This window comes from Homo sapiens, chromosome 16 (genome assembly GCF_000001405.40).
Source record: "Homo sapiens chromosome 16, GRCh38.p14 Primary Assembly".
NCBI classification, from domain to species: domain Eukaryota; kingdom Metazoa; phylum Chordata; class Mammalia; order Primates; family Hominidae; genus Homo; species Homo sapiens.
In genome coordinates this window covers 55,868,395-55,894,912 of record NC_000016.10, presented here as the reverse complement: position 1 = coordinate 55,894,912, position 26,518 = coordinate 55,868,395, and the positions used below count along the sequence as shown (strand labels likewise).

The following is a 26,518-nucleotide window of genomic DNA, read 5'->3' as shown; positions in this document are numbered from 1 at the left end:
TAAGTTTATTGTTTCCCCCAAGGATTCACAACAAGGGACTCTTTTTTCCACTGGGATCTATTCTTTGTCCCAGGAGGCAGTAGCTAATGCATTTGTCTTGCATTGTAGGCTACCACCTTCAAAACTGCCATGGAACTAAAGAGTGGAAGAGGGTGCCAAAAATGCCACTAAACTCCTCTGTTGAGGTTCGGCAACTTTTTTCTGCAGTAAATGTTTGATTATTGTAAAGATTTTATTACTTTCCAGTGTTCAGATAAAGTTTATTCTGACATTTTTGCTAGTATATTTACTGTTTTTGTGGAGAAATGGGGCCTTGGAGTTCCCTACTCCATCATTTTCTTCGATGTCACCCACATCCTCTAAAAACATCATTTATTATTTCTTTTCTTTTCTTTTCTTTTTTTTTTTTTTTTTGAGACAGAGTTTTGCACTGTCTCCCAGGCTGGAGTGCAGTAGTGGAATCTGCAACCTCTGCTTCCCAGGTTCAAGCGATTCTCATGCCTCAGCCTCCCAAGTAGCTGGGACTACAGGCACCTGCCACCACGCCTGGCTGATTTTTTGTACTTTTAGTAGAGATGGGGTTTCACTATGTTGGCCAGGCTGGTCTTGAACTCCTGACCTCATGATCCGCCTGCCTTGGCCTCCCAAAGTGCTGGGATTACAGGTGTGAGCCACCACGCCCAGCCTATTATTCCTTACAGTGTGGGTCTGCTGGTAAAACATTCTCCCAGCTTTCTTTTCTCTGCATATTTTATTATTTTTGTCTTCATTTTTGAATAATATTTTCTAAAAATATTCTTTCTCTAACATTTTGAAAAACACTTATTTTTCTTTCATCAGTTTTTCATCTTTTGGTTTCTATTTTTTCTAACAAAAATAGACACCATTCTTATTGCTTTTTTTCTACAATCCAATGTGTCTTTTATTCTTTGGCTTTTGGCAAAGTTTTTTAAGCCTTAGTTTTAGCATTTTATTATAATATACTAAGGAGTGATTTTTAAATTTGTATTTAAATTGGTATTCATCTTGCTTGAGATATGTTGAGATTCTCAGATATGCAGTTTGATGTCTTTTATCAGTTTTTCAGCCAATACCTCCTCAAATAGTTGTGCAACATTGTTCTCTTTCTTTGCTCTTTTGGATTTCAATTACACATATGTTAGATCATTTTATATTATACTTTAGGTTGTTGATGCTTTTATTTTTCTTATTTTCTTCTTTTCACTTTGTGCTTCTGATTGACTATTTGATATTACCTTGTTTTCAAGTTCACTAATAATTATTTTCGACTTTGTCTAGTTTGCTGTTAAGCACATTTAAATAATTTTTTATTTCATGTGTTGTATTTTTTAGCTTTAGAATTTTTATTTGGTTTCTTGTAGAGTTTTCATTTCTCTACTGAAATTCTTCATATTTCCATTTATTTTGTCCAATTTCCCCTCTAAATTTTTAAATGTGCTCATAGTAATCACCTTAAAGTTCTTGTCTGTTATACCAATATTTTTGTCATTTATGGGAACTGATTCTATTGACCTTACTTGTCTTTTGATTATGGGTCACATTTTCTTGTTTCTTTATGATTCCAATTTTTTTTTTCTATTTCATACCGATATTGAAAACAGGTCTGATCTGATCAATTTAAGCAGAAATTAAGCTGAGGAAGGGTTGAGCCTTTGGTTAGTTATGATTGACCTCTGGTTTCAAATGTCTCAAAGGTGTAGAAACAAGTCCCTCACTTCTCTGGGGCTTTGATAGATGAGCATTGTGAATATACAAAATTTCTTTCTGTTTTCTAGCCCTTCCCTCAGCTTCTCAGTGCTACTACTTACTCAGAAAAACTCCTGTGGAAGAGAATTGGCAGGCAGGGACCAGAAGGCTGTATTTGGCATTTTTCCGGATTTCGACCTGCCAGGCTAAACCACATTTGACTTTAGAAGTTTAGGTGATTTTTCCTTGTCCCTGCACAACTCCTCTGCCTCTGATAGGCTAATCCTTTTACCTATTTTTGACCTTAACTTGGCAACTTCTCCCAAAGATATAACTGCACTCATATATATTTATCTGTACTCATTTAGGAATAACTTGTTCCCTCTGTGGAATTTAGCTCAGTTAGGTTTCTCTGTGTCCATAGTTCTTTGATAGCTTTATATATATATAATTTTTAGAAGTCTATCCACTATTTTTTTTTGTTGTTGTTGTTGTTGTTAGAGTGTGAGCTTTTAAAAGCTTCTATGTCCTAACTGGAAGCAAAATTCCATTAGTGCTCTTATAAGCACTTATATTTTGAAAAAAATTTAATTAAAAAAAGCCAAAATTATAATTGCTTGAGTTTTTTGTATTAAGCTAGGCATTTTTTATGTGGTAAACCACACTGATTGATTTTCAAATATTAAACAAACCTTGCATACCAGTGTTGACAAAAAGAGTCAAACTCTGTAAAATATTCAAAGAGATTTATTTTGAGCCAAAAATGAGTGACCATGGCCTGTGACACAGCCCTCAGGAGGTCAAGAGAACATGTGCCCAAGGTGGTTGGGGTGCAGCTTGGTTTTATGCATTTTAGGGAGGCATGAGACACTGATCAAACACATTTGAGAAATAGATTGGTTTGGTCCAGAAAGGTGGGACAATTTGAAGCAGGGATGGTGGTGTGGGGGTGTGTGGGGGCTTCCAGGCTATAGGTAAATTTAAACATTTTCTGGTTCACAATTGGTTGAGTCTGTCTAAAGACCTGGGATCAATAGAATGGAAATGTTCAGGTTAAGATAAAAGATTGTGGAGACCAAGTTTCTTTTGAAGTCTCATAGTGGCTGCCCTTAGAGACAATAGATGGCAAATGTTTTCTATTCAAGCCTTTAAAAGGTGCTAGACTTTCAGTTAATCTCTTCAGGATGGGGAGTTCCTGGAAGAAAAAAATCTAGCTATGTTAATAGAGATTCTTTACAGACGTAAATTTCCCCCCACAAAGGATGGCTTTGCAGGGCCATTTCAAAATATGGCAAAGAAACATGTTTTGGGGTAAAATATTTTGTTTTCTTCTTTGTCACGTATGTTACGCTAGAGTCAGATTAGAAAGGAAGTCATGATATAGAGGGTTAAATAAAACCCATCTGATGAGAATTTATGGTTTGTAGGGTGTGAAAGGGAAATATCATGGACCCCCAAAACCACTAAGCTAAAGAGAAATTCAAGCTGGGAACTGTTTAGGCAAACCTGCCTCCCATTCTATTCAAAGTCATCCCTCTGCTCACTGAGATAAATGCATATATGATTGCCTTCTTTGGAAAGGCTAATCAGAAACTCAAAAGAATGCAACTGTTTGTCTGTCACCTACCTGTGACCTGGAAGCCCCTTCCCCACTTTGAGTTGTCCTGCCTTTGCTTCGAGTTGTTCTGCCTTTCTGGAATGAACCAATGTTCATTTTACATATGTTAATTGACATCTCTTGTCTCCCTAAAATGTATAAAACCAAGCTGTGTTCTAACCACCTTGGGCACATGTCACCAGGATGTTAGAAATAAAGTTTTGGTGCTGCAAAAGAAATAGCACTCGAATGTAAGATTTTCTTTCTTATTTCTTCTCAGCAAGGCAATTTATTTCTATAGAAGGGTGTGCCCTCACAGATGGAGCAATGGTGAGCACACACCTGGACAAGGGAGGGGAAGGGGTTCTTATTCCGGACATGTGGCTCCTGCAGCTGTGTCATTCCCCTATTGGCTAGGGTTAGACCACACAGGCTAAACCATTTCTGATTGGCTAATTTAAAGAGAGTGACGAGGTGAGTGGTTTGGTGGGAAAAATGGTTATGGCATAGCAGGAAATTGGAATGAGTCAGGGTGGAGAATGAGCAGGTAATTGGAATGAGTCAGGGTGGAGCAGATAATCGGAATGAGTCAGGGTGGAGCAGGTAATCGGAATGAGTCAGGGTGGAGCAGGTGATTGAAAAAGGTTGCTTTAGGAGGAAGTTAAGTTTAAAAGTAGAAGGCAAAGAATTGAACATATTGACATATTGATTCTTTGAAGAGAAATTTAGAACTCATGTCTAACAAGGACCTCCTGAGGCTGTGTTACAGGTGTCCATCCTCAACCTTGGCGAAATAAACTCTCTAAATTAACTAAGACTTGTCTCAGATTTTTGGAGTTCACAAGAGCATGACTCCCCAGACCCCTTGGATATTTGGGCAAGATAAGAAAAAAACAGAGCTTAGTCCTCACCAGGAATAAGCCTCAGTTTGTTGTAATACATGTTTTTATATATCACTAGATTTGAATTGCTAGTATTTTAAAGGATTTTTTTTCACATAGGTTTATAAGATATATCACTATTTAATTTTTATTTTTTCATAAGGTCCTTTGTGGGTTTTGGAATCAAGGTTATGCAGGTCTCATTAAAGTAGTTTGGAAGTATTCCCTACTTTTTTATTCTCTGGAAGAGTTCCTGCAAGATTTTCATTGATTGAACCTAAAATGCTTGCACAGAATTCTCTTCTATATTTACCTCCACAATTTCACAAACAAAACAGTAAAATTAAAAAAAAAAAATTCAAGCCCACATCTGGAACATTAAGCTCCCTCAATCATGTCTGAATATTCATTGAAGTTTGAGATTAAGTAATGTGATTTTCTTTTTCTTAACTGGGTATTTCTTACACTCAAAAATTTCAGGTTCTTTCATTTTTTTTTTCAAGTTGTCTTGGAATTCTTCTTAAGCTTTCTGCCTTTCTTTTGCCTTTCTCTACCTTCCCATACCTTTTCTCCATTCTCAGCCTGATGGAAAATATGGAGTCCATCCTTCTTGGGTGCTTGCAAGACTCCTACAGACTCAGCTTATGCTATTATCAAGGGCATTCAAAATTTCTTTTAGTGAGTGTGACTCTGATGCTTTCCTGGCTGGAAGGTCACTATGACTTGGTTCTGAAATCCAGCTGAGTGAGAGGCTCTAAGAAGCTTCTATTTTAAGACTAGCCCACTGTGATATTGTGAAATATATAAGTGATCTTCATCCTTCATTTCCTAACCTAAAGCTCCTAAAACCTCTTAAATACTTAGAGCAATAAGAGTGTCTTTTGTATTCTAATGAGATGACTGATGGCTGGGGGCTCCCAGATAGCCAGAGGATGGGAGCTGGTCACCAAGGGAACCAACCATGTGATTAGAGGGTAAGGGAGAGACATTGAAAGTTGGGTTAATTATCAATGGCCAATGACGTAATCAATCATGCCTACAAAATAAAGCCTCCATTAAAAAAAAAAAGGACTGGGTTGGGAGAGCTTCTGGATAGCTGAACATGTGGAGGTTTAGGGTCAGGGGTGGGGCAGGTGGCCTACCAGAGAGGGCATAGACGCTCTATGCCCCTTCCCAGATACCTTGCTCTGTGCATCTCTTTCATCTGGCTGTTCACTTGTATCCTTTGTAATATCCTTTCCAATAAGTGAGTAAAGTGTTGACTTGAGTTCTGTGAGCCATTCTAGCAAATTAATTGAATCTAAGGAGGGGTCATGGGAATCCCAATTTATAGCTGGTAAGAGTCACAACCTACTACTTGCAACTGGCATCTGAAGTGGGGAGCAGGCTTATGGGACTGAGCCCCCAACCTGTGGGATTTGCTGCTGTCTCCAGGTAGATAGTGTCAGAACTGAATTGCATTAGAAGATACCCAGCTGGCATTTCTTGGAGAATGTCTTGGTGTATGGGGAAATACACACATTTGGTGTCAGAAGCATTGCGTTGAATGGTGTATGAGAATGGAGAGGAAAAAATACCTTTTTTTTTTTTTCTATGTCTTAGGCCCGTATCCAGTTTGGCCCATTTTGAGTCCTAGCAGGTTTCAGGGTTGAATATTTTCCTGGGTTTAGGTCATTCTAGGCTACTTTTGAGTAAAGCTCCCCTTTAACTGTCAAATTAAAGAGAGAAGCACATTATAATTTTAAATGTAACATTTGTTAAAGTGCTTCTCTCAGGTTCTGAGCTGGTCACTGAGGGTGCAAAGTGAACCCAAAATGTCCCTGCCCTCATGCAGTTCATACCTTGGTGGGAAAGGCCGAATAGCATGATGGTTAAAGCTAGAGTCAGACAGAGATCTAGATTTGAAGACCAGCTCTGTGACCTTCACTTAACCTTTCTGTGTCTTAGCCTTGTCATCTATAATTAGAATAACAATAGAATCAACTCCATAGCATTTTGTGAAGATTCAATGTGACATGCTTGCAAAGTGCTTAGCACAGTGACTGACACAACCAATAAATGAAAATGGAAATCTTAGTCTGGATTCCCCGAAAAGCAGAGCCTGAGACAAAGACTAAGGTTCAGGTAGTTTATTTAGCAGACAATCCCAGGAATAAGGGAATAAGGGAACATGAGACAGGGTAGTGGATGAAAAGTGAATGTAAGGGTCTTTAGTTGAGATTTTTGCTATTGTCAACTTGGGTCTTAGTTCCAGAGACCTACTGGACAATTAACAGAATATCTACTAGAATTGTTCGCTTGAATAACAGGAAGCTGGAGCCTTTATCCACTGGTTCTTGCCCCATTGGTTAAAGGTTGCTCCTTCTGTGCTAACTTGTGCATGGGCCAGGTAGACTTTCCAACATCAGAAGGAGCCTGGGGACAGTAAACGGAAAGCTGCATGGCCCGTAATTGAGGTGAAATTTGTCAACATGAAGGGAATCTGTACTCCCATGGTACAGTCTACAACAACTGCAGCTGAAATCAGTGGTGGGCAGAGAGGACGAGATGTGGAACACCAGAGATACCTGTGGAGTCCTAATTAGAAAAAAGGAGTTGGGCTGGCAGGACTGAAAGCAAGCAAAAAGAAAAAGCAGGTAAGCTACAAGTTTGTCTTTCTTCACGGTCCAGGACACAGCCCTTCTGTGCAAATAACTCACAATATTCCTATGTCCAGGTATCACCAGACCCTTGGCTGATAGAAAAATTGCAAGTTAGTGCCCTGTAACCTTGCCATAATCAGTACTGCATGCAGTACTCGGCCGCTCAAGAACCATCCTATAAAATTTCCAGCAAGCCTTTGCTTCCCTGGAGTCAGCTCCTTTCTTGCTGATTCTGCCCATTGCTCCCTTGCAACATATTTTCATACTTTCTCTAATAAATCTGCCTTTTTTAACCCACAACTGGTAAATTTGGCCTCAGATAGTCACTGCCTCAGATAGTCACCTTTCACCCATGACAATGTCTTTTACCGTCCACTCCTTGCTCCACTTAGATCTGCTCATACCCACATTAAGTTTACACTGTCACATAGTCTTCATGCTGGTTGCAGCTTCAATCTCCATAAAAGACCTAAGGCAGCAGAGTTAGAAGAACAAGTTCAGTATCCATTGCTGCAACAGGGCCTGAGTCCAAGTCTACCTGGTGAGATGCTCCAGACTCTTACCCCTGATGGATCTGAGACCTTGGATGACTTGGCTTGCCACATTGAATTTTCTTTAACTGAACATAGAAGCACCCTTATATATAGCAGCAGCCCTAGTTTTTAATGATAATCAGTGTAGTAACTTTTTTTTTTTTTTTTTTGCCTCTGGTCCACTGGTAACAAGAGTCTGAAGTCATCAGGCAGCAGATCTAGTTTCAAGTTCAGTGGACTCTTTGTTGGGTCAACCGGTCAACTGTTGACCCGTGGAAGCATCCCTCCACCCCCAGAAAACGACCTGATATTCCACAGAGCCTAGGCTCTGGGGAACATGAAACACAAATTCTGCAAGTGATGCAGAGTGATGGTGACAGGGGTCAATATTTCTTTCACCTCTTGATTCTCAGACTGGTCTGTTCTAGCCTTTGAGGCACAGCATCACATTTCAAGTATTATAGAGCATATACTGCATCCTGTAGTACAACATTCCAACCCTGCAGCGTGTTGATACCAAGTTCATTCCTTAGCACATCTCCTAATAGACCTTCCATTGTTCTATTATGCTGTTTCCAGTGGATGCAGCATATGGTAGGACCAGTGGGTCCTGGGGCCATTTGTTCACAGACCCATCCTTAACCACAAAATAGCTCCATTTTGTTGATGTGATTACATCCTATGTAATCATGGGATTACATAGGATCCCATGATACAGATTAGGCAAGAGCCCTCAGGTGGTATTGTTGACAAAGGATGCTGTGAGCAGGGAAGGCAAACCCATAAATCCATATCCTGAGTAGGTGTCAATTCTGGTAAGGATGAGTCACCATGTCTCCCCATGTCCCAGAGTTAGGAGTCTGACATAACCAACTTGTTACCAAAGAGAGTTTGATTCCCACTTAGGATAGTGCTATGGTGAGGGCTCATATTAGTTTCTGCTGCTGGCCAGTGGGCATTCGGAGCAGTATTGCCAAGATCAGCCTTGGTGAATCAGAGCCCATGCTTAGCCACCATAGCTATTCTGTTCATGGGTTCGTTGTGCAAGAACTGCATGGCTGAGGAGGGAGGCTGGTTGACATGACTTGGATGAGTTTTGTCCCTCTGTTTGTAGAGTTTCTTATTGGGCATTAACATAAAACACAAAGATCTACACACTGTCCCACTCCCATAGATGAATCCTCATGATTCTTTCTCACATCTCTTTGTCACTGATTTAGGATCCTATCTGTCACTTCCCAGGCCCCTGAGTAATTGGCCAAGCCATTCACCACTGTTCAGAAGTCATCATGTATGTCTTTACCTCAGCTCACTTTTGTGACTATTTAAAGTGGCAACCAAGTATATTGCTTAAAATTGGACACCAGGAGGATGTTTTTCTCATCACTATCTTTTGAGGTCACTCCTGAGAGTGGCTGGTATGTAACAGTTGAATTTTAGCTCATCTTCTTAGGGCAGTCCATATGTAAACCAGGCCTGTTTGCCTCTTCCACCAGCTAGCCGTGGGGAACCTGCCATGAGGCAGTGGACGGATGTGATTGAGGGGAAGCATTGGTGCAGTAGAGGGAGACAACGTGGGGTCAGCCATGTGTGTGTAACTTTCTTGTGCTAGCCAGACTTGCTCAGTCACTATTTCTAATGTACCAAATGTGCTTGCCTCATCTTGTTGCTGGATCTGAAAATACTCAGCTCATAATGGGCGGCTCTGGTTGCCTATTCACTTGATATCCCATAGTAGGTAGTGGCCATGAGAATGAACTTTGCGGGCTTCCAACTATGGCTTCCAATCATTGAACCAGGGCACCAGCTCCTTGCTGCTGAAGTCTGTCACAACATTTACATCAAGGCCATGCTTCCCACAGGCTGCTCCTAGCTAACAAACGAGTGTAGCAGGGATACAAGGGCAGACCCATTTCTGGGAGACTCAAGACTCCTCTAGTGATTGACATAGGCTTCCCGGCTCCCTGACACACTTGCTGGACCTTCTTTAGTCTTCATGGTAGCCTAGGATGCTTTTACCCAACCTTCTTGTTATCTCTCCTTTGCAGATTCTATCACAGTCTGGCAGCTCTCCTGGACTTTCCCGGCTCCCTCCCCAATTCCCATCCATAGGCATCTCCCCTAATAAAATCTTTGCATGTTTAATCCTGTTTTGATGTCAGCTCCTTTGCACGTTTAATCCTTCTCAGACCAACGAAAGTGGTCTCGGAAGACAGGTGGTAAGATGGGGGTCTGGGACTGGATCTCCTAGCAGGAGTGGAGGATATCATCTTGGGTGATTGACGAGGCACAAGGTGATGGCTCAATTGCTAGATTTTGCTGGTGGTGAACTGAAAAAAATGTCCCACATTAGGGGGAATGCTGTAGGAGGTGCAATGATGTAAGTATTTGAAAAATACATGGAGAACAAAGCCTACAAAGGCAGTAGAGTAGGCCAGGTATGGCTAAGCTGCACACTGCAGAAGGATAATGAGAGACAGAGAGCTGTTAATGAGCAGATAATGGCTAAGTGTGAGATCAAGGCAGCCTTGGGGAAAGATTAAGAAAAGGCCCTTCTCAGCAGTAGTAGGAGGGCAGACACAGTTGGACTATAGTCTGAAGACTTCACCACAAATGTGCTGGCGAAAGGAGCACGAGTATCACTAAGAAGTTTAGTGGTAAGGCCGGGCACAGTGGCTCCCTCCTGTAATCCCAGCACTTTGGAAGGCCTAGGTGGGCGGATCACTTAAGCCAAGGAGTTCAAGACCAACCTGGGCAACATAAGGAGGCACTGTCTCTACACAAAATTTAAAAATTAGCCAGGCATGGTAGCACATGCCTGTAGTCAAAGCTACTTGGGAGGCTGAGGAAGGAGAATCACTTGAGCACAGGAGGTTGAGGCTGATGTGAACTGTGATCATGCTATTGCACTCCAGTCTGGGCAACACAGCGAGACCCTGTCTCAAAAAAAAAAGGAAGAAGTTTAGTGGTGGTTGTGGGGTGGCCCTCTTCTGCAGGCCAGGGGACATGGCAGGAGAGGTGGCCGTAGAACTGGGTTCATTAACATTGATGAAGAAGAGGGGGAGTCTCAGAGTCACTCATCCTGAGGCTGGGTAGTGGCACTTAAGTGCCAGAAGGCAGGAGGCTGCAATTACTTTAATGATCACCAAGGCCAGAGGATCAGACAAGAGGGTTTGACCTGTAAGGAGTGGTGGAGATGGTTAAGGGAGTGTGATATCTATAGGGGAACACAGACAGACTGTCGACAGAGGTGCTGCTTCACATGCATGATAAAGGATAAAGCAAGCATGGAGGAGTAGCACAAGGCTGAGGGAAGCTGTCCCAGTAAAATGCCACAAATCTTTGCTCAGTTCCCAGATCTGTGGCAATTGTCAGATCTTGAAACCGCTGAATGAAAAGGTGGCCAGATCCTTAGAAAGAAGGACTTCGCACAATTGCAGCAAGTATATACCATGATAATTTTCCTAGTTCTTTTCCGAAGGGATGTATGGTTGTTTATTTGGGTGACTGTGTACTGAGCAAATATTTTCAGGACTAATGGACACAGATTCTGAAGTGACATTGCTATGTAGAGACCTAAAGTGTCACCATGACCCCCCTGTTAGAGTGGGGACCTACGAGAGCCAGGTAGTGAATGGAACTTTAGCTAAAGACTGGCTTACAGTGGGCTCACTGTGTCAATAGACCCCACCAATAGTGGTCATTTCTCTAGTGCCCAGGTGCATCAGTTGGGAGTGATATATTTGGAGTAATCCTCCAAGGATTCCCAGGATTCCCTGGAGAATGAATAAGGAATCCATGGTCTGTGAGGTAAGAGCTATCACATTGGGGAAGCGGAAATAGAAACCTCTGAAACTGCCAGAAGCCAATAGGCTCCCACTTCATGGCCAAGTTAGTAAAGAAAAAACAATATTGTATCCTCAGAGAGGGATATAGCAGAGATTAGCACCACTGTTAAAGACCTAAAAGATGCAACGGTGGCCCGGGTGCAGTGGCTCACACCTGTAATCCCAGCACTCTGTGAGGCCGAGATGGGAGGATCATGAGGTCAAGACATCGAGACCATCCTGGCCAACATGGTGAAACCTTGTCTCTGTTAAAAAAAATACAAAAATTAGCTGGGTGTGGTGGTGCATGCCTGTAATCCCAGCTACTTGGGAGGCTGAGGCAGGAGAATCACTTGAACCCAGGAGGTGGAGGTTGCAGTGAGCCATCCTGCCACTGCACTCCAGCCTGGTGACAGAGCGAGACTCCATCTAAAACGAAACAAAACAAAACAAAACAAAAAACAAAAAAAAGATGCAATGGTGGTGGTGCCTTTCACAATTCCATTCGATTCATCAGTCTGGCTGCTGCAGAAGTTGAACAGCCCCTGGAGAATGACTGTAGACTACCACACACTCAACCAAGCGGTAACTCTGATCATAGCTGCTGTGCTAGGTGTGGCATCCCTGCTTGAGCAGGTGAATAAGGCTTCTGCTATAACGTATGCTGCAGCTGTAGATTTGGTGAACTCAATCTTATCCATTCCAACTAGAACAATTCGCATCTACATGGGATGAAAAATATTCAGTTACAGGGTTAGCTGCCTCTCACAATATAGTCCATTTCACTGCCTGGATGTCCCAAGAACATCACGCTCACATGTTACATTTACAACTTCATGCTCAATGGACAGGATGAGCAAGAGGTGGCCAGCCCTCTGGAGGCTTTGTGCTCCAGAGGGTGGGAGATAAGCCCTTTGGAAACTCAAGGAAGGGACATTTCAGTGAAGGTTTTAGGAATCCCATGGGCAGAACATGCTAGGATTTCTCCACTAAAGTAGAAGAAAAATCTAACTGTCTTGCAACTCTTGCTAAAAAGAAGGAGGCAAAGTCTCCTTGGTATGTGAAGGCAGCACATTCCACACCTAGACATGTGGCTCTAGCCCAAATTCCAGATCACATGAAAGACCACCAGGTTTGAGTGGGGTAGGGTCTGAAGAAGAAATGGCACTGGCAAGTCCAGGCTGTGGATCAATCAGTCCTGTTGCCTAGGTGATATGATTTGGCAGGCCTGTGACGGTGGAAACGTCAGGGATAGGAGAAGGTGCAGGTGGAGCTCATGGCAAGCTCCAGTGGGAAGATCATGATGTGGTCCCTGCAATTCTGGTGTAAGGCCATGCCTACTACATTAGGGAATTAAACCCCTTTGAGAATCGCCTCTGTGCATTAGTGGGTCCTGGTATCAAAAAAATGCTGGACCATGGACACCAAGTGACCATGCATCCAGAACTTTCCATTAGGAGATAAGTCCTGGCTATAAATCTCTTTTAGGAAGGACTGGGGGTATGTTTATAGTTATATATTTATAGTGACATTGCATAGTCCTCTCTTGAAGGACCCAGACTCCTTAAAACAATGAGCTCAGTAGGTTTGACAAGTGGTTCAGATCTGGAAAGATCTAGTAAGGGATTTTTCATTGTTATGGCCGACATAAACTTCTAATCATCACCTCTTGACTTTCTCTGATTTTACAAGTTAAACAACATTCAAGTTGGCTGCCTGTCTACTTTACTTCTAGGATTACCATGACCTATTAGCCATTGTCATAGATCTCTGTGGGACAAGGCATCCTGGTTGCCACTCTGGTTTTTTTGCCCATTAAGGTAATTATTTCCACCTTACCTCTGGTTATGCAGCACAACCTGGCCTCTGCTATTCCAGACTCATTCACACCGATACTAGGGATCCCATTTCTATGGTAGCTAACAAGGATTATCACCACTGAGCTTCTCAAATAATTCCTTCCTGCCTAGCAAATTCTTTACTGCCTTAGTGAAGGGATCCTCTGTCACTCTCAGGAAACATTATCAGGTAGTGAGTCCCTCATTCTAGGAGATGTATTTATTTTAACAGTTCCACATCCCTGAACCTTCTCATCTCTTCATCAATACTTGGCCATTCGAATTGGCTAATTCTAACATCTCCATTGCATTTGCTGTAGGCTGTCATCATGTCCCTGCTTCATGGGTCCACTCTCATAGCATATTAGCATCTGCCCGAGGCATTCTTGAATACAGTAAGTCCTGCATCATGAGAATGTGCTCTTGTGCTAATAAATTCTCTCCTACCCAGTATTACCTTCTGCTCCACCCCTCAGGCTTACCACCCTCAAGACCAACCTCCATGCATGTTTTTCTCTGTTCCTATCAGGACATAATAGCCACATCACGCGATTCATTCACTAGGAAATCCCTTTTCTCCTGGGGAAGGGACTCATGTTCTTGTTTAAGCTGTGCTTAAGCCTGGCCCTGGTTACTGGCTTGGGAGAATGAGTGGATTGGGTGATCTTGATGAGGAAAAGCTTTATCTTGGGAAGCATCTATCACAGGTCAAGTCTATGCATTGTTACCAGAGTACAAGTGTCTTGTGTCTCCTAGTAAGGAGAGGCTTCCTTCTGCCAGGCTGGAGAGTTTAGGAGAAGCCAGGTATTCATAGTTCTCAAATGCATCCATCCAGATGTCCCAATTCCACGTCTCAGGGTCTCAATCATTCCCTGTTGGTGACCTAACTTTAACTTAGGAGATTTTTCAAGGCTATAGGCTCAACCTTACCTTTACTCCTATAGTCTCAGAGAACCTTAGACTCTGGGTCTAATTTTCAGCATAGTCAAACTATGGTTCCAGGAGACACAGCTATCTTTAAAAGCTGCTAGGAGGCCTTCTGATTTTCACAGTGTACTCTGTATTGATAGCTGATTAACAGAGACTGCCATTTTCTTCAAGGTTTCCAAGGCAGTTAACAAAAGGCAGCCATCACCACAATACTTGTAATTACCCTTGCCTCTATACCTAGAGGTGCTAGTGTTAATGCACGCCTCAGTGCAGCCCACTCCTCTGAACCACATCCCAGTCCACCACTGACAGTCTTAGTAACAGGATGCTGTCTGACTAGGGGGGAGATCCAGTTTCAGAATCTCACTGAGGGTCTGCTGTCTAGGTCTCCTTCTCATACCGACTGACTTGGTTTGTGTGCCTGAAAGCAGAGCCTGAGGCAGGGATTTGGGTAAAAAGGTAGATTACTCAGGAGCAAGGGTGGAGGGGAGGAGGGAAGGTGAGACGAGGGGGTGTTCCTGAGACTGATGCTGTGAGCAATGGGAGCCCCACTTCCTAGGACTTTCATGCAGCACACAGAATACCTCAGAGCTCCCTCAGCTCTCATGACCCTTCTGTTGAGGGTTCCTCCTGGGGGACTCCATCTGTCCTGTAATTCTGGTCTCACTTGAGCAAAGACAGAAGGGACATTTCTGCCCTGGGGCAGAAAATAGAAAGCCAGGGCCCAACCATGCTTCAGGTGGTATGCTGTCAGTGCAAGGGGAGGCTGGGCCTGCACACTACTGTCCACTGCAGCCATGGCTTAAATCCGAGGTGGGCTGAAGTTTTGTGACCTGCATGAGAGATCACATGGTCCTTGTCTTAGTCATCGTCATCATTATCATTGGGTATACCACCTATAGAACAAGGGCAGGGTATTGTAAATAATAGAGTCATCAAAAAGTGCATGGGCAGGAAGAGGAGAATGATTCTAGAGAGGAGGCCTGCATGGAAGAAGTGGTTTTTCATGGAATCTTTAAGACAATCTTTAGGATTTCATTGGGTAAAGAAGTCACCTAAGTGTGGTGGCCCATGCCTGGCCACACCCCTGTAATCCCAGAGCTTTGGGAGGCAGAAGCTGGTGGATCACTTGAGACCAGGAGTTGGAGACCAGCCTGGGAAACATAGTGAGACTCCATCTCTACAAAAATTTAAAAAAAATTAGCCAGGTGTGGTGGTGTGCACCTGTAGTCCTAGCTACTTGGGAGACTGAAGTGGGAGGATCGCTTGAGCCCAGGAGTTTGTCATGCCACTGTGCTCAAGCCTGGGTGACAGAGAGACACTGTCTCAAAAAGAAAAAAGAAAAGAAAAGAATTCAAGGCAAAACACTCCAGGGGAGGAAAACATAATAAACACTGGATATAGTGATGGGGGTGCAGTGATGAGATGCAGGAGTGGAGGTACAGTGATGGGGTGCAGTGATGAGATACAGAGATGGGATGCAGTGATAGGGTGCAGTCATGGGCTTGCAGGGATGGGAGATAGTGGCCTGCAGAGGTGGGGTACAGTGATGAAGTATATTGGTGAGAGTTCAGTGGTAGGGCGCAGTAATGGGGGTACAGTGATGTAGTACAATGGTGGGGTTGCAGTGATGGAATGCAGTGATGCAGTGCAGTGGTGGGGTGCAGTGGTGGAGGTGCAGTGGTGAGGTACACTGTTAGGGGTACAGTGGTAGGGTGCAGTGATGGGGTGCAGTGATGGAGTGCAGCAATGGACTATAGAAATGGGGAGCATTGGTGGAGTGCAGTGGTGGGGTGCAGTGATGGGGTAGCAGTGGAGGTGCAATGGTGGGGTGCAGTGGTGGGGTGCAGTGGTAGGGTACAGCGATGGGATAATGATGGAGGTGCAGTGATGGGGTGCAGTGATGTGGGTGCAGTGATGGGGTGCAGCAATGGGGTGCAGTGATGGGGTGAAGTGGTGGGATACAGTGATGGGGTGCAGCAATGGGCTGTAGAAATGGGGTGCAGTGATGGGGTGCAGTGGGAGGTGCAGTGATGGGGTGCAGTGGTAGGGTGCAGTGATGGTGGTTAAATGGTGGGGGTGCAGTGGTGGGATGCAGTGATGGAGGTAGTGGTGGGGGTGCAGTGATGGGTGTAGTGATGGAGTGCAGTGGTAGGGTACAGCGATGGGTTAATGGTGGAGGTGCAGTGATGGGGTTCAGTGGTGAGATGCAGTGGTGGTGTGCAGTGGTGGGGGTGCAGTCATGGGGTGCTGCAATGGGGTGTAGTGATGGGTGCAGTGGTGGGATGCAGAGATGAGGTGCAGCAATGGGCTGTAGAAATGGGGTGCAGTGGTGGGGTGCAGTGATGGGGTGCAGTGGTGGGGGTAGTGGTGGGGGTACAGTGATGGGGTAGCAGTGGGGTTGCAATGAGGCATTAGTTTGGAATTGTAGAATGGAGCCAGATGAGAAAAGATTTGAAGGTCAAGTTAAAATGTTTGGGTTTAATATGAATGTGAGAGGTGTTTGGAGAAACAGGTTATGAGATGGAAGCTCTAAGGCTTCCCAGCTGTGGGTCCATGTGTGGTCTGTGGGGCATTGCCCGGTGACCTGATTCCAGCACCAGAGCACCACTCCTTTGTTTTGTCCACCTACAGGCTGGTTTCCACCCTGAGGCAGCTGCCATTGCTCTTGTACCTTCAAGGTTCCTTTAGCCTCCCTTTATGAGAATTCAAAAGTGGGCTTTGATTTTTACCACCTATCAGCAGGGGTAGATTAACCTATGTTTTAAGCCAAGCTGCTTAAAGAACAAGCCCTTAGCCCTCATCTTGGTTTTCTCCCTCAGGGTTTCAGCAGAGCAATCTGGGAGAACAGGGAGAGCCTATCAAAGGTCTGTGTCTCCCAGGGGCCATCCAGGCCACTGGCCTGTGCTACTAATGGGGACATCAAGGTCCAAGGAGGTGATGTCAAGTGGTTATTCAGCTTTCTAGAAGATTGAGTAATTTTTCATGGCCCAATAACTGCAGAAGCCAGCACATCCTCCCAGATCTTTCTATTGCCGCTCCTTTCCTACTCCCTCCTCCCCGAATTGCAAAGCCTGCAGCTCGAGGGCAGGAAACCTGGGCTTTAGTTCCAGCTGTTCTGCTTCTCAGCTTTGTGATATTGGACCAGTAATCCTACCTTGCAAAATATCAGTTTCCTCATCTACAAAATGAGACTAATCACATTAAATTAGGTAATAGATGCAAATAAAGCATTTAGCCCAGGGTCTGGTACCTGTAAGGCATCCTATAAATGAAGTCTAGAGGCATTGATTCCTTACATTATCAGTGTTCCTCACAGAGTAGGTCCTGTGCATTAGGGGCCTGCGACAGAAGTGGTACCTAGAGAGAACAGCAAATAGAAGACATTTCATTAGGAAACCATTTCCTCTATAGTTCTCTTTGCATTCTGATTTTGTGGAAGAGTAAGACTTTGGTGGTATTATAGCATGTCATATATATATATATATATACACACACACACATACATATATATACACACACACATATATATATATACACACACACACATATGTATACATGTAATGCTTGTTAATTTCCATTTTTAGCAAGGAGAATTCTTCGCCTCTCTGGTTAATGATAGACAATTACATCTAACTCAATCTGGTAAAGTCCTATTCAGTAATTTAAACAGTTTCTTTAGATAGCATAATCACTTCAAATAAATCCATAGCCTCTCATATTTGCTCCCCACCCCACCCGCACTCCTTGCCAAGATGGTGTCTGGCTGTGTGAGTTATGGGATGCTAATAGGACCACATGAGTGGGAGGGCAGAGGGAGCTTGGACCCACTTGCAGAAGTCCTTGCGTTGTTGTGGTCTCCACAGCAATGTCCCACTGCCGGGGTTCCTGGGAGGAGGATGAATTCTTAAGTGGTGAGCTCATGGTCTGTCCTCTCATCTTGATCAAAGCCCACTGATTCCCCCTGACTGACTCAGTGCCCTACCTCACCCTGCCCAGTGCTCAACACTGTGCTCCAGCACAGGCCAGGTTGTGGTTTCACTCTGTTCTCGAGTCCATGAAGCATCTCTGTAGCCCCCTGCCTTCCTCCTCCTCTAGCTCCCAGCCAGGTTGGTAGTCACCTCCAAGTTTTCTTCGAAGCCACACGGTGATGTCTGGATCAATTTCAAGGAATTTGGGATCCAAGGGAAATAGGACCACCCCCTGAGATCTCTCTTAGCCCAACCACTTCTGCTCTGCTGTGGCTGCCCCAGGTTGGTTGAGATGTGGAACCCTTCTGTCACTATCCTCCTGGAGAACCCTTCACTACTTAGCACACTTTTCATCCTTAGCACACATTTCAGCCCATCACTGCACCCCATCACTTTACCTCATCGCTGTATCCCTTTAGGACCTATGTCTAAGAGGGGGAGTCAGGGCACTTTGCATCACACATGCTTTCCCTACCTCTGTTCCCTTCTCCTTTCCAAAATCCACTGTACAGAAAGGCCGGATTTTCCTGTTTGTCTTACTTTGGGGATCTTCTCCACCATACACCACCCTTTCGTTGTAATGGTTGCTAGAGGCAAAGGGAATGTTTTGTGGTATAGAAATGCAACATATATTGGCTTGCTCTTCCCAAAAGCTCTTTCTTATTGCACTAGGTAGATACAATTTTCTTTAATAACAGCTTTTAAAAAATGTCAATTTAAAGAAAAAAAATCAAGTAAATTGATAGTCAATTTGGTAGTGGGAATGGTACAAATTGTGAAGACAGAAGGTCTAGGGCTGAGCTTTGGGAAGCCACAGGGCACAAGTAAGAAGCTGTGATGAATATGTACATGGAAAAGTCCTAGGTGTACTCCAAGGAGGAAGACAGTCATGGCTACAATTTGTTAGAAAATAAGAGAGGTTGGAAAAGCAAAGCACTAAAAAGTTCAGGAGAATCAGGGGAAGGTTCTCGGAAGAGGTGGCAGTTAAATTGGATTTTAAAGAAGAAGCTGGAGAAGAAAGACATCCAAAATGGGGGTGGTGGTGTTGGCAACAAGCTAGTTTGTGTGAAGTGCTTTAAAACAGTTGGGTGAGCAGTGGTGTACAGACTTGATAATATTTCTGGTCAGATGAAGGGACAGATTTGAAGGCCAGGGAGAATCTTTTCGGTGGCAACTATGAAGGGCCAGAGGGGAAATAATATAATCGAAGAAGCCTCAAGGTTGCCAAGGAGGCTGTAGACCAAATGGCCATTGAAGACTCTTGTTGGCAGGGCCAGCCGGGCTGCTTGTCTGAGCTGGCAGTGCTTGTGCCTTCAGAGCCACTCGCTTGTCCCAGCAGCAACCTTCTTCCTCTTCTCAGAAACTTCTCAGCTTCTCTGACCTGCACTGTGTCTTTCTGGCATCACAGGCAGGTCTGGAAACCTCATTCATCCTTGGGTCTCTAGAACTCATAATCTTAAAATGTCTTGCCTGGTCTGGAATGTCTTTTCTGTTTCCCCCATCCCGGAAGTCCAAAGCCTATCAAATTATCTTTCCCCAGCTCAATAGTTAATCATCAGCTTCTTATGTAAATCAGAACAGGAAAGTCTTGCTTAGTCAATTCCTTTGAGAATATTGTTCTGATGCTGATCTTCAGTAACTCTGCTGCCTCTGCCTGCCTATTCAGCATTTGCCTGTTAACAGGAAGCTCTTTCTGGCTCCCAACTGAAGCTCTCTGAGGCCAGCAGCCGCCGTCAATGTTCACAGAGTGCAGGCAGGCAGCCAAATGAGTGGGAATTGGGTGCACCCAGGCCAGATCCTAATTTGGGCTATCTGGGTCCTTGCAGCCCCCACCAAAGGTGAGATATCCAATGGGAAAGGAGGGCTCTCAGAAGATGGGGTGGGTGAGGATTTTCCACTGGTAGAAATGAAGTTATTCTTCAGAGGTCTCTGAGGGCCAGTGGAGAGCTATGTAGTACTTTGATGGCATCAGTATTCTGCTGTTGCCGAGAACCTAGGACCAGAGCTTCCTTCTTGGGAGTGGGTAGCGCACAGAAGATCCTGGTTCTGCCTTTGGGTTGCTCACACCCTGCAAGGGGTTTAGAGGGGCTCCATCCTGAGCACTGGAGAAGCGTGAGGAACAGAGCCTGTGCTTCTGCACTCCTGGCTGCGGCGACAGGACTTTCAGTAATGAAATGACATTAGAAACAGTGCTAAGACACCCGGGTTTTGCTAAGTAAGTAGCTGGGCAGTTTCCTTCCCAAGGCTCCACGTTCTGTGTGGTGACTGAGACCCCTGCATGCCCAGTCTCCCAAAGTGCCATCTTTATGCTCCTGGAAGTAGACGAGTTGATTTCAGGAAGTATCTGCATGAGAATTTTAAATTTTCACCCATGAATATTCATGTGTATTCAAAAGCATATACCTAACTCACCAAAATCACAATTCCATAAATGTCATTACTTGGAATTCTTCTAGGTAAAATTTTAAAAGGAGTTTATTGGAATTAAATTTTAAGAAAAAAAAAAAAGAAGCCAGCAATCATGCAGGTGCTGCACAGATATGCCAGCAGTGGTGCTGGAGGGTGTGGAGTGACAGAAGTGTAGGAACCCCTGGGAAGATGAGTTTGTGGCATCCCAGGATCTACAGAGTTCGGTATATGTCAATCCTGTAGAAAGAAAGCGCTCTCAGCAGAAGGGAGATGGGTTTCTGAGTGAATGGGGGAAAATTTTGTTGCTAGGTACTGCTGGGCTCCTAGGAGAAACTAAGTCAGTGGTTTCATGGGGGTGACTTCTACAGCAATCTTGGAAAAAGCCATGGAACTGGATTCATGGAGAGGGAACCTGGATACCACCAGCTGCACAACTTCTGAGTGAAGGAAGCACATCCCCACTGGGGAGCTCCAGACTGGGTGGGCCATTGCCCTGCCTGTCCCCAGCCTGCTCCTGATTCCTCCCATGTGTTCCCGCAGGGCCTTCTGCTGAAGGGCCACAGAGGAACACCAGGCTGGGATGGATTCAGGGCAAGCAAGTCACTGTGCTGGGAAGCCCTGTGCCTGTGAACGTGTTCCTCGGAGTCCCCTTTGCTGCTCCCCCGCTGGGATCCCTGCGATTTACGAACCCGCAGCCTGCATCGCCCTGGGATAACTTGCGAGAAGCCACCTCCTACCCTAATTTGTAAGACCAGGTTCGGGCCCACGGGTGGTTTGTGACTCTGGGAGTGGCAGGAATTCAGGTCATGCAGCCCAGTGTGAAAGAAGAGGGATTGGCATGGATGGGGGAGGAGGGAGAGAGAGGGCTTGAGACTCGGGCGAGTGGTTTGGTAATCCCCTGACTCCTAAACTGGCTGATGGCCAGGTCACTGGAGGCATCTTTAAAAATATACAGATTCTCCAAGCTCCCTTCTGAACTTTCTGAATCAGAATATCCCGAGCTGAGCCCAGGAAACTATTATCTGAACGCTTTTTAGAGACTCTGATCACCAGCCAGTTTTTTTTAGAAGTGCTGAAATGGGCGTACTGAGTCCTTTGGTCAGAAGGGACTGTCTAGGTATCTTCTTGTGACCTCTCACCCAAGCCTGGCTCTATGGTCAGACTGGGTGAGGGTTTTATTGAGAAGAACCACACTAGAAGGGTGTTAGCTCCAGCTGTCAAAACGGTGCCTGATGCAATACCTAGTCCATGGTGAACTCCATAAATACCCGTGGAATGAACATGTGGATGTGTCTCTGTGACGCAGGGACTCTGGGAGGTAAGGAGCTCCTGGTCACTGCAGATTTCCAAGCTCGGTTAGGTAACCAGTTACCAGGTTAATTGTGGAGGGGTGAGGTGAGACTTACTGGGTGGGCAGTGAGACTTGAAAATCCCCTAGAATCTTCCAACTCTTTAGATTCTGTCAAGCTCTCAGGTTGGGCCACATGGGTTCCTGGCAGAAGAAATTCTGGTGCCAGGATATTCCCTAAGCCACAGAAGATGACCCCATGTGGTCCAAGGACTGAGGACATCAAGCTGAAACTCATTTGTTTGTGCGTTCATTCATTCATCCAACTAATATTCATTGCGAACCAACTTGATAACTGGCTCTCCATTAAGCTTGGGGACGCCGCAGGGGTTGAGTCACAGCTGTCATCATGGAGCATGGAGAGGGGTGATGGTGGCAGGAACGTAAACAGTAATTGACAGCTAAAATATAAGATGGCAAGGGCAACCATTAGGGTGTCAGGGAAGGGTGCTGAGGGGAAACAAAGACCCACCTGGACTAGCTTTGATGGGAGGTCAGAGACGGCTTTGCTGAAAGCGCTGAGGCCTGATCAACAACATACAAAGGGGCAAGGAGGCATAAACACCTGTCAGGAGAAGACGTGCAGCAATATTGCACACTATTCTATTAAGAATTGATTGCGTACACAGTATGGTAGAAGCATTCACATTTACAGCCTTGCTTAATCTTACGGTGTATCATGCTCTGTGCTGGTGCTCTGAGGTACAGAGGTGACTAAAACAGAGTCTTAGGCTTTTAGCTGCTCACAGTTGAGCTGGGGATGATGATAATGCACACGCACAACCTCAGGACAAGTTCTGGAAAAGAATGCAAAGTAGGTGGGTGTTTCCGAAGAAGAGGTATGGTAGAACTGGAGAAATCTCAGAAGGCTTCTGGGAGGAGGTGGCAAGTTGGAGTGACTCTAAAACAAAGGGAAGAATGTGAGCACGCAGATACAGGGAGAGAGCAGTCGAGGCAAGGGCCCGGCTTGAGCAAAGCCTGGGTGCAGGAGTCTCCCTGCCAGTCTATCCTGGGTGGTTCCAGGTAGAGAGGCCTGGAAATGTTCCTTTGCGCATCTGGGGACAGAATAGGGAGCCGCAGGGGCAAAGCCCTTGTTATTCGACTATGTCCTGCCCTCTACAGTTTGGGGAATTGTTGGGCCAGCTTGGGTCGTTATGTGTGTCTATATTATGGTGGTGGCATAGGAGGGTGGTGTAGGCATGGGAGGGTGGTGGGGGTAATGGTGCAATTATTCTACACCATGTGCTTTCCTACCCAGGAACCAGATCAATGAGAATTATAATTTGCTTGCTTGTTTGTTTTGGAAACCATGGGGGTTTGGGCATGATTGGACTTTGTACCGGTAGCTGCCTCTTCTGCTCAGGCAGAGGAGACGGCCAGGCCTCCCCGCTGTCAGAAGAACTGGCCCTTCCCAGGCAAGTTTGCTGATAACTTTTTCTGAGGGTTTTCTCCTCTCCTTCTCCAAGGTGCCTCCAGAACTCAGAGTGGCTGCTCTTAGATCAACATATGCTCAAGGTGCATTACCCGAAATTCGGAGTGTCAGAAGACTGCCTCTACCTGAACATCTATGCGCCTGCCCACGCCGATACAGGCTCCAAGCTCCCCGTAAGGCTGCCTGCTGTGTGCTTCGGGCTCTAGCTAGCAGGACCTTGGCCTGGGATCCAGGCAGTGCAGCTACATGTCTGGAATTGGAACTACCCCCTGTTGGGTAAAAGGGAAATGTAATCACATCAACAATTTTTAAAAATCATTTGAATGATAGATTCACATGATCAGTTTTTCTGATTGATTCTTTATTGGCAGTGCCTTAACTTTTAATTTTTATTTTGTTTTGTTTTCCCCTCTGTTGCGTATTTAGTGACCTGAAAGCTTTCAGAAAAGACACTGCTTAAAAGGAATCTGACTTTTTTCTTAAATTTGAGGTATCTTTTTTCAAAAAGAATAATTTTATCCTCCAACTTTTCTGTTTATAATGAAGACAGTCAGGTAATCATGTTAAGTGTTTCATTTAAGAATATAAAATATCCCCGTGTCAGTAAGTGGGGGAAAGGCATGTTCTATGTTTTAGCCACACCCTCTCATCCTCTTCTCTTCCTCATGCCTCTGCCAGGGGAAACTGGCTGTCTTGTATCATAACAGTAATGTCTATTAAATGCTTGCTGTGTGCCAGGCACAGTACATGATCTGATTTAACTCCCATGCTAACCCAGTGGGTAAGGACGATTTGGACCCATTCCACAGATGGAGAAGACGAGGCACAGGAAGGGCATAAGTGACTTGCTCCATGTTGTACACACAGTAGGCACTAGATTCTGGCACCAAAGCCAGAGGTTTGTCCACCTCCCCTTTCCTCAGTGGCTTTCTTCTCTTTACCTGCCCCGAAGGCTGTAATCTCTAATATGACCTTAAGAAAGAGAATGGAAGGGATTTGTTATTAAATATATAAATAAAGATAATGCCATTTGAATGTTTTATGTTCCCTGATCCCAATTTTTCTAATCAATAAAAATTTTACTCTTCCCTCTTTTTTTTGGGACAGAGTCTTGCTCTGTTGCCCAGGCTGGAGTGCAGTTGTGCAAACTTGGCTCACTGCGACCTTTGCCATCCGGGCTCAAGGGATTCCTGTGCCTCAGCCTCCCAAGTAGCTGGGATTACAGGTGCCTGCCACCATACCTGGCTAATTTTTTGTTTAGTAGAGACAGGCTTTCACCATATTGCCCAGGGTGGTCTTGAACTCCTGAGCTCAGGCAATCCACCCACGTCAACCTCCCAAAAGTGTTGGGATTACAGGCGTGAGCCACTGTGCCTGACCCTTCCTCTTTCTCTTCCTTCTTTCTTCATTTTTCATCCTTTCTCCTCCTCCTCTTCCTCCTTCCTCCTTCTCCCTTCCTCTTCCTCTTTCTTCTTCTCCTTCTCCTCTTTTTCTTCCCCCTCCTCCTCTCACCTCCTCCATTCCTCTTTTCTCCCCTCCCCTCCTCTCTTCTTTCTGAAGGTAGAGAGCTTTTCTCTGAAACACCTTGGGCTGCTTTTGCTCTTATACATGGCTTACAATGGTTTCCATCTTCCCGTGGGTCACAGGCTCACTGGTATTTAGTGAACAATTTCTGAGCACTTGAAACTTGAAATGTGCTATTGCTCATTGTTCTATGAGCTTTAGATGCAGAATTTTGTTTAAACCTCATGATAACTTCATAAGTGAGATACTTTCCTTCTTCACATTTTACAGATGAGAAAAATGAGCCTTAGGCTAAGTAATCTTTCCAAGGTCACACAGCTAGTCAGTGGCAGAGCTGGGAGTCAAATCGAGGCACTCAGGTGCCAGAGCCCACATGCTTAACCCTGGGCCTTCTTCAAATGACAAAACCTCGCACCCTGCTTAGCAAGTGGGACATTTATATTTCACCTTAAGAACGTGTGCCTCAAACTGCATGGGGAGGGGAGGTGGTGCCTGGTGGGCTGACTGGATGCTCTTCTCCCCTCCTCAGGTCTTGGTGTGGTTCCCAGGAGGTGCCTTCAAGACTGGCTCAGCCTCCATCTTTGATGGGTCCGCCCTGGCTGCCTATGAGGACGTGCTGGTTGTGGTCGTCCAGTACCGGCTAGGAATATTTGGTTTCTTCACGTGAGTCTCTCCAAATGATGGACATCCCAGATCCCCAAAGGGCAGCAGTGCAGTAGCCATAGACAGTGCCCAGCAACCTAAGAAGGAGCGAGCCTTCCGGGACAATGAACAAAACTGGCCCTAATTACTTAGGTAATTTTTGCAGCTGTAGCAGATAAATCCCAAAATGTTGGTGGCTTGAAACAATAAAAATCTCTTTCTCACTTGGGTAAAGTTTAATTGAGCATCCCTGATCGGCAGACATTCTTCCTCATGGTCAACCAGGGATCTGGCTCATCACATCTTGAGCTCTGATGTGGATTCTTTAGGGCCTCGATCTTCTGCATTTGGTGGGTGGACCGAGACAGCATGGAGGATCATGCAATGGAGGGTCTCCTGGCCCAGCCTGCAGGTGGCACTTGTCACTTCTGTTCACTCGCCATTGGCAGAACTCAGTCACATGGCCACATCCAGCTGCAAGCGAGCTGGGGCCATGTAGCCCCACTGTGTGCCCTGGAAGAACAGGACACTGTTTGTGTGAGCAGTCGGTGGTGTCTACCTGAGCCTCACCCCAGGTCTTCTCGAATGCTCACCTGAGAATCATCACTCTATCACAGTGGCTTCCCTCCTCCAATCAGGCCTAACATGTACTGGGCTTTCACTGAACCAGCCATGGGGCTGTGCACTTGCCATGCATTATTTCAACTCACCCTCAAAATAATCCTTCAAGGAAGGTTCTCTGTTGTTATTCTCATTTCACAGCTGGAAAATGGAGGCCCAGAGAGGCCAAACAACTTCCCAGGGGTCACAAAACAGAGCTAGGTCTCTTGACTGCTTCTATTATCCTGTCTAAGACATGGCAGGAGAAGTCCTGATGAGGGTCCAATGTAAACAAAGAGGAGAAGTGAGAGGTGGGGCCAGGATTATGCTTGCGGGTCACTGTCACATACTATGGTAAAGGCAGCAATGATTCAAATATGAATCCTGCCTTACAGAGGCTCCTGACTATGGGAGAGATAATGCAGGGACAAAAATATCCACATTACCAAGAAGGACATGGTTAATTCTCCAAGAGTGAGAGGCCATGGAGCTGTGGAAACAGAGGAGGGAGTTGCAAGGGATCAGGGAGGCTTCAGAGAGGGGTGACATTGGAGTTGCACCAGAAGGATGTGGTTGGGCTTGAGGAGAAGGGGTTCAGAGAACATGTGCTTGGCAAAGGGTGCTACCTGTGCAAAAA

The 26,518-nt window shown here is 45.1% G+C and overlaps 1 protein-coding gene across 3 annotated transcripts in view; it reads left to right on the top strand.

The window, feature by feature from the left end:
- The window catches only part of CES5A (carboxylesterase 5A), a 109,878-nt gene that overhangs the window by 61,119 nt on the left and 22,241 nt on the right, over nt 1–26,518 (top strand). For 2 of the 3 annotated variants that reach the window (NM_145024.3, NM_001143685.2), the window contains exons 1-4: nt 19,540–19,764; nt 20,876–21,080; nt 23,150–23,288; nt 25,169–25,302. In NM_145024.3, the coding sequence (NP_659461.1) occupies nt 19,692–19,764; nt 20,876–21,080; nt 23,150–23,288; nt 25,169–25,302 (551 nt within the window). In that variant the 5' untranslated portion in view covers nt 19,540–19,691. Of the gene's footprint in view, nt 1–19,539; nt 19,765–20,875; nt 21,081–23,149; nt 23,289–25,168; nt 25,303–26,518 lie in introns of those variants that run through there. The other variant, NM_001190158.1, reaches the window with a different exon arrangement.